Genomic DNA, 8,841 nt, shown 5'->3' with positions numbered 1-8,841 from the left:
AACCTGGGCTTTTTTTGGTTGGTAAGCTATTTATTACTGCCTCAATTTTAGAACTCGTTATTGATCTATTCAGGGATTCAACTTCTTCCTGGTTCAGTCTTGAGAGGGTGTATGCTTCCAGGAAATTATCCATTTCTTCTAGATTTTCCAGTGTATTTGCATAGAAGTGTTTATAGTATTTTCTGATGGTTGTTTGTATTTCTTCAGGGTCAGTGGTGGTATCCCCCTTATCATTTCTGATTGTGTTTATTTGAATCTTTTATCTTTACTTCAGTATTAGTCTAGCTAGTGGTCTATTTTATTTACTTTTTTTCAAAAAATCACTTGCTGGATTTGTTGATTTTTTGAAGGGTTTTTCATGTTTCCATCTCTCTTCAGTTCTGCTTTAACCTTGGTTATTTCTTGTCTTCTGCTAGCTTTGGGGTTTGTTCGCTGTTGGTTCTCTAGTTCTTTTATTTGTAATGTTAGGGTGATAATTTGAGATCTTTCTAGCTTTTTGCTGTGGACATTTATGCTATAAATTTCCCTCTTAACACTGTTTTAGCTGTGTCCCAGAGATTCTAGTACATTATCTCTTTGTTCTCATTGATTTCAAAAACTTATGGATTTCTGCCTTAATTTTACCATTTACCCAGAAGTCATTCAGGAGCAGGTTTTTAATTTTCATGTAACTGTGTGGTTTTGAGTGCGTTTCTTAATCTTGAAGTTTAATGTGATTGCGCTGTGGTCTGAGAGACAGTTTGTATGATTTCTGTTCTTTCGCATTTGCTGAGGAGTGTTTTACTTCCAATTGTGTAATGAATTTTAGAGTAAGAGAATGCGCATTCTTTTAAAGCACACATAGAAAATTCTCCAAAATAGATCATTATGGTTTTATAAACTAAATTTTAATACAGTTAAAATAATTAAATATCACACAAGGTATGATTTCAAACCAAGTGGAGCTAAAACTAGAAATCAGTAGCAGAAAGGTATTTGGAATACAACGAATATTTGAAATTAGTTCACTTTAAATAATCTGTTGATAAAAAGAAATCAGAAAGAAAATTGGAAAATGTTTTGAATTGAAGATAACTTAAACATATCAAACTTTGTAGGCCTCACCTAAATAAAGCAATACTTAGTAATTTTAGCATGAAATATGTATATTAATAAAGAAAGGGCTCAAACTAATGATCTAATCATTCATGCTAAGAAATTTGAAAGGAAAGACCAAATTAAATTAAACAAGCAGCAATAAAACAATAGTAGTAATAAGAGCAGAAATCAATAAAATTTTTAAATAGGAAAACAATAGAACAATAGAGAACATCAACAAAATCAAAACCTAGTTCTTTGAAAAGATCAATAAAATTAGAAACCTCCAGCCAGACTGACCATGAATAAAAGAGAGAAGGTGCACATTGCTTTCAACAGGAATGAGAGAGAGTGTATTACTACATATCCAATAGACATTAGAAAACAAGAAGGGAATATTAGGAAAACAACTGTATGCTACCAAATTTGATAACTTGGATGAAAATAACAGGCTTTTTTAAAGATAATATACAAACAACCAAAGCTTACTTTAAAAATAATAGATAACTTGAATAACCATAAATCCATTGAAATAATTAAATTCTTAGTTCAAAACCTCTCCACACATTAAAGTCTGGGCCCAGACTTCTCTGGAAAGTTCTGAAATAAATACTATTTGCACAATCTCTTTCAGAAAATAAGGGATATAGACACTCTCTCCAAGTCATTTTCAAAGGCCAGTATCACTCTTATATGAAATCAGAAAAAGACATGACAAAAAGAGAAAACTGCAAACCAATATCTCTTGTGAACATAGAAAGAAAAATCCTTAAGAAATTTTTAGCAAATCAAATCTAGCAATATATAAAAATTATAGTACAGCATGATCCAGTAGGGTTTATTCATGAATGAAAGTTGATCTAACATTCAAAAATCAATCAGTGTAACCCGCCATATCAATACACATATCAATATATGATCTTGAGATTATTCCATCAGATAACAATAAAGCATTGAATAAAATTGAACATCTACTTATGATAAAACATCTATTATGATAAAATTTATGATAAAACATCTATTTATGATAAAACATGTATGTATGTTAAGAGCAGAAGAGAATGGCTAAAAGACATGTATTAGTAATTCAAGAGTGAAGCTTTATTCCCCTGATGGCAGGAACAATGAAAGAACATCCCCTTTCACCACTTCTGTTACATTATAGTGAACATTTTAGACAAAGTAATAAGCTCGGAAATGGAACCTTTCAACTTCGTAGCAGGAGATGATAAACTGACTAGCGCCAATTCTCATTCCTCCCTTTTCCTTTTCTATCATAAAGGAAGAAGGCACAAGCTTTGTCTTTTTTATTTTTGCGTCTCCAACATCAGATACAGCACTTAACACAGAGGTGGTCATAACTGAATCAAAAACAAACAAATACATAGCCAATTTCTCTTTTGTTTCCTTGGTTAAATGCTGAATGAAAATATCTATTTAACTTAAAACATGTTGCTGATTCTTGTAACTGATTTTACTGGTTTACCTGAGTGTGTTCCTATCTTCTTTTTCCTTTGGTTTGTTTTCATCCTAACATCGAAACTTGATTTTTTAAAGTGATAAGAAAATACTTGTTTTTACTGTTGAGCCATTGCAAAACCAGTTTACTGCATAAAGATTTTCATGTTCAATTTTACGATATGGATATAATTATATCCATAGAAATCAGAGTTTTAGAAAACCTAAATAATTGATGTTAAATTTTATGATTCTACTCACCATAAATTATGAGCCTTTCTGTATTAGTCCATTCTCATACTGCTATAAAAGAACTACATAAGATTGGGTAATTTATGAAGAAAAGAGGCTTAATTGACTCACAGTTCCACAGGCTGTATAGAAGTATGGCTGGAAGGCCTCAGGAAAGTTACAATCATGGCGGAAGGGGAAGCAAGCACATCTTACCGTGGTAGAGCCAGAGAGAGAGAGAGAGAGAGAGAGAGAGAGAGAAAGGGGAGGTGTCACACACTTTCAAACTATCAGATCTCAAGAGAACTTACCATCACCAGAACAGCAAAGGGGAAATCCGTCCCCTTGATCCAATCACTTCCCTCCAGGCCCCTCCCCTAACCCAAGGGGATTACAACTTGACATGAGATTTAGGTGGGGACATAGAGCAAAACCATATAACCACCAGTCATGACAACTCTTATCTCATTAAACCATTAAATGTTCTTGATATAGTCATATCATAGACAAAAACGGGGCAATGATTGTTTAGAAAACTATTAGTAAAACTTGAAAATATTTACTTGAAGACAATAATAATCAGAAGCATTAGGTATCACTACACTGCTTTACTTTCTGTGTTATTATTAAATGAGTCAATTTTTTTTCAGTTTTCAATGTCTAATCCATACATAATTTAATTAGAAGACATTTAGGAACTAAAAATGAAAGTCATATTTTCTTCCCTACATACCACATGGCAAATCTTGTTTAATGATTTTAATAGTTTTTAGTTATTTTGAGAACGTATGGTTTAGGAGAAATCACTGGACAGAAAGTCTAAACTCTTGGATATTCTAGTTTAATTTCATTACTTACTTCCTGTAGATCAGCGATTTTCCTTTCTATATTTTACATTTTCCATAGCATCTATTACTAACAACAGTAAACCCACTGAGTGAATTATAACAAGTGAGAGAGAGCAACGAATATTTTCTCAGCAGCTGCTACTTACTTTACAGTAAATGTTTAGTACTCAGCCCATAATCCCACTTCCATTTTCCTTCCCACCCTTAGGTTTAAACATCTGGAGCTTAAGCTTATATAAATGATCCCATGCTGCCAGTTTTTATGACTAAGCTGTTCCAGTTAGACTCAGCTTCTAGGAATTACGAATTGGGTCTCTGAGAGTCTGAGTCAGTTAGAATGAGTGCACAAAGACATGGAAACCAGCTGAGTCACACTCAAGGGACAGTACTTCGAGTTAATATTCATTAACTCTGACTGTACATGCCACAGGAGCTACTAGGTGTATTACCACTCAATACTTTCAAACATTTAGTGAATCATGTGAGACGCATATATTTGTAACAACACTCAACTCTCAACTCCCTCAATTTGCCCACAGGTGTGACTTGAGAAACAGCAAATGGTTTCCTGTATGTTGCAACCATACAATTTTGAAAATTAGACATTATTAATATTTGCCTGATGAAGAAACAAATTTAGAGAGGTTAAGTATGTAGCCAAAAGTCCCACAACTAAGAAAAGGCACAACCAAGACACAAGATAAAATGATAATAGTATTGGGAACCATTATTTTTTAAAAGAAATGAGCATTGATAATGCTATCCATTGATAATGATGCTTTTTTTAAAAAATTGACTTCTGGCTGGGCAGCATGGCTCACGCCTGTAATCCTAGCACTTTGGGAGGCCAAGGCGGGTAGACCATTTGAGCTCAGGAGTTCAAGACCAGCCTGGGCGACATGGTGAAACCTGTCTCTACAAAAAATACAAAAATCAGCCGGGCACATTGGCATGTGCCTATAGTCCCACCCTCTCGAGAGGCTGAAGTAGGAGGATTGCTTGAACCTGGGAGTTTGAGGCTGCAGTGAGCTGTAATAATAAAAATTTTGACTTCCATAAGAGTAGAGGGGAAGATATCATTCACTTTTAGCTCAGAAAATGTATACCAATTGCAGGTGAATAGCTAAGATTTCCTTCCATTTCCTTTTTGAAGATATGGTAGCTGCAACTTGCTGCCATTTACTTTTTGTGTATATGCTCCCCTTCTCCCCAAAGTCCCCATCTCCAAGGGGTAGACTTTAGCTAATGGAGCACTTCCTCACTTTAACGTGAATCAAATTGTTTTCTGCAATGGTGAAGTTAAGAAACCAATACTAGTAAAATTTTGAAGTAGGAGAACACACTTATAAGTAGGATTTCTCTTAATCAGCCTTTGGAAGCCACTTCTTGTAGAGATTTATATAACTAAGGTTTATTGCTAATTTAATTATGCTTCTGGAGTGGATTATGTTTTAATTTTGGAATTCTTTGGGATTGGTTGCAATTTTATGACTACCTTAAGCCTTTCTCAAAGGCATAATTTTTGTACAGCAATCAAGTGCAAACATTAGGGAAGGCCAGAGGTCCTTCATCTCTCCTTTCTGCAAGCAGCACTTTTATAGAGTTGCCAGAGCTTTAAGGGAGTGCAAGAAACCATTTCCTTTTACTGCTGATACTGCTTCTATCAGACTATTCATTAATTATGCCAATTACATTTTGAATGGTACTAGAATGTGCAAAGGGTAAAATATGAATCAGTATATAATTTCAGTACTTTATTTTGTCCAGAATTTTATATCTCTTCAGGGTTATTTCTGCTCAAAAAGAAAGTATCTATAAAAATTATCTATAATTTTTTTTCTAGCCACATATATTGAATACATCAGAAGCAGGCCCATGCAGTGCTTAACAGAATCATTTATGTTAAAAACATGTGATAGTAATCGGAGTTTAAATAACAACAAAATAGGCTTCATAATAAGATAAATAATATGTAAAATAAGGTAATTGTTAATGTACATATTAAGCTTGATATAGAATAAAATATATACCCCCACACCCACAATCCAGCTTTCACCTTAGAGCATTACAAGCCTTAGAGCCCTCTCGGGCCTCTACCACGTTGTATTCTTCTACAGCGACCTAGAAAATAACCACATCCTGGTCGTGAATTGTGTACCCATTGGTCAACGGAGAAAATTACAACAAATTTAGTTTAAAGATTTTAATTGGCTTTTATGTGCAATTCTAGAATCAGGCAATAACTCATTCTACAAAATACAATGAGTGTTCTGATGAGCTGGGTGAGGAGTTTGGCTTTACAGACAGAAAAGGGCTGATGAAAGCAGAAACAAAAAACAAAATGTGGATTTGTCATTTCAAAGTTACCTTCATTGTAAAGGTTAAAGCTAAGGGCACTTGCTGAAACTGACCTGTCTCGGATTATCTCTCTCGTGTTTTCTTGGAAAGTCAGAAAAACAGCTTAGCGTTGCTCGTCGATGCTGCAGTGTCGGTATGAGTAAGGCCATTCTGGTTTGGTTTGTTGGACCTAGTGCGGGAGTTTAGCCCAAACGGCTCTCACTGAGAGTGTCACCAAAACTTAGGGCATCAGCGCTACTCTCGGTCGCCACCATTTTGGCTTACGGTGTCCTTGTTATCATGCAGTTCTTGGAAGTTTCATCATTTCAGCCGGAGAGAGACCACTTGACATTTAGCAGATGGCTGCATGTAGGTATTTAAGACTTTTTAAGTGAATACAGAATACCAGGAAGACTACCATTATGATCTCAGAAGGTAAAATTAAAACTCTGGAGTATGTCCCTTAGTCAAGGTTCCCATGAACCCAACCAACTGAAATCAGTTAAGCCAAAGAATGAGCCGGACGGCGAATCTACTCATTTTAACCAAGGAGCTTGTTCATTCATTTTTGCCGTGGAGTCTCTGTGATACCCAATGCATTTATCCATCTGCAATAAGAAGTGTCGGCAACTGCACAGACTCCTTCTCCCGGCTCAGCTGGTAGGTAGCAGTTCAATTATCTGGTATGCCACGACTCGGTTAAATTAAAGCAGAGAGTGAGATTTCTAGAAATCTTACTCTATAAAAGGGACCATTTTTAAACACAGTGAGAATTTAAACACAGTTGTATTATGGATGCTGCTAACGTTACCCACTGGGTGGACTAAAGGACCCCTTAAGTCATGTAAAGATTTGGGTTTGGTATGACGGATCCAGTGTTTCGTGAAGTCACCAGCAGAAGCTCCTGATTGTGCAATTCTACCTACAGCATTATCCTGCCCAGCAAAAGAGCTCTGCATCAGCAAGGAGAAACTAAGAGGGGCCCGGGCTCTCGCTGTGACTGGGAGTGTTTCTCCCAGGTCCTGGGAAAAGCTGTCCACAGCATGAAGTTGTCAGCTGCTTATCCTGGTTTTCAGTTTGAGGGTCCCTGGCAATGGGACCCTCAATTTGGTGAAATCTCTGTGTAGCCCACACATCAGGCTTGAGATTTGTTCCTAAAAATTTACATCAAGTTGTCCAGCTCCAGCTCAGAGGCCTTCAGAAACAAAGCAGTTCTTCTTCTTACTTGGAGAGTTGTAGCCAGATATTGGAGGAAACTAGAATTCAGAATCCAGTCCAGTCTACCAGTAGACAATAAAAACCTAAAAACAATGAATAGGGCTAAAATATAATGAGAGGTGTACTACAGTTTTCTTCATAAACATTCTTCTTTTTATAGTTACACCCATTTCTACCCAAAATAATCAGAGTAAGACAAATTTGTTTGCAAAACAGGTCTAGTCTTGTTAAACTTTGCCTGATTATATAAGTGCAGCAAGAATTGTGATTGACCACATAGGTGCTTTGTAAAGTTTGCTTTTGCTAGAACTTTTGATTAGGAATCTCAGATAAGACTTTCAGAACCCTCATAACTAGGAAGTCAAACTACAGCAGACCTCAGACTTCATCTGCAGTACCTGTAGATATATCTATGTGCATTTTCAAATATTACATCCCAGTAAAGCCTTAGTAATATAACCAATATTTCCAATTGCAACCTATTATAAAAAGAGCAGATTTTTATTGGACTTATGCAAATAACTACATTCCCATTAAAATAAGAATACCCATAAGTTTCCATATTCTAGAGGGATCAGGTAGGAAGAAAAACTGAATGTTTTAATTTTTACTCACAAACATATACTTTATCAAATTTCCAGTAACTATAAAAAGCTTTTAAAAAGTTTTCTAAAATTTGGAAAACAAAACATTAAATGAGCCAGCAATGTTTCAAATTTTTAAAAAGTCATGAAAGCCTATAATTCTTCATTATCACTGCATTCAGTACCGTGTAATTAATTCTTGTTCTGCCTGATTTTGGTTAACATTTTCACAAACCCATCAGTTTCTTTACTGAAGATCTAAAAATTCTTACGCTGTCTAATAGTATGATCTCAAAGTTACCAGAAACGTGTTTGTCAAAGTCCTTTACATAAATTCCCTTGAAAACGAATCGCTGTAGAATTGTAGAAGCCAGAAAAAAAAAAAAGCTTTCAGAAAAGCATCAGATTAAATTCTGTCTGTGGAGGACAAGACCTAAAATGACTATAGTTAGAGATCTGATGAGAGTTCATTATAATAATGTTATAACTGAAAAGGAAATTTGTTTATTTCAGTGGCATACAACATTTTAACAAGATAACAGAAATTATGGTTGATAACGTATTGGGTTTCTAGGAATTTCATACACTTTTTGAAACACATTATTAGCAGCACATCCATATACATGTAACTCAAACATCATTTCTTACTTGACAATGCCTCTCCTGCAATTCAATGTATCAAATAAGCTTAATTGCTTTAAATTGTCTTCTTCAGACATTCAAAGTCCTTCCGAATTGTCCCAAAGTTAGTTCAAAGTAAAAAAGACTTAACTTCTGATTTGATTTTGGAAAGTTTGTCAAAAATATCAAAGGTTTAAGACACTTCATCAAAATAGGATCACAGGTCACAGCGGAGTCATACTTATTAATTTAACCAGAAATCATTCTGGTTTAAAACTTCAAATTGAAAAACTTCAAAAGACAAAGACAGAAAGTTATGTAGATGTACAAAAACCCTGGACTGTTCAATGGAGAGGACTCAGTTTTCCTAAGTAATCAAAGACTAATAAAGACAACATGAAGCACAGGAAATCATCTCAATAGAACACCGAATCTTGGTTTTCTAGTCCAATTATCTAAAAGGTTAA

The 8,841-nt window shown here is 35.0% G+C and overlaps 1 annotated feature.

The window, feature by feature from the left end:
- Positions 3,419-4,618: an enhancer, noted in NCBI's record as "P300/CBP strongly-dependent group 1 enhancer chr4:189862417-189863616 (GRCh37/hg19 assembly coordinates)". NCBI's record gives its function as "activates an origin of replication core promoter dependent on BRD2, BRD4, P300/CBP, MED14 and CDK7 cofactors, with strong dependence on P300/CBP, by STARR-seq in HCT116 cells {active_cell/tissue: HCT116}" and the evidence as "EXISTENCE:reporter gene assay evidence [ECO:0000049][PMID:35650434]".

This window comes from Homo sapiens, chromosome 4 (genome assembly GCF_000001405.40).
Source record: "Homo sapiens chromosome 4, GRCh38.p14 Primary Assembly".
In the NCBI taxonomy this organism is placed as follows: Eukaryota; Metazoa; Chordata; class Mammalia; order Primates; family Hominidae; genus Homo; species Homo sapiens.
Note: the sequence above shows the minus strand (reverse complement) of the source record. Positions and strands in the feature narration are given on the sequence as shown.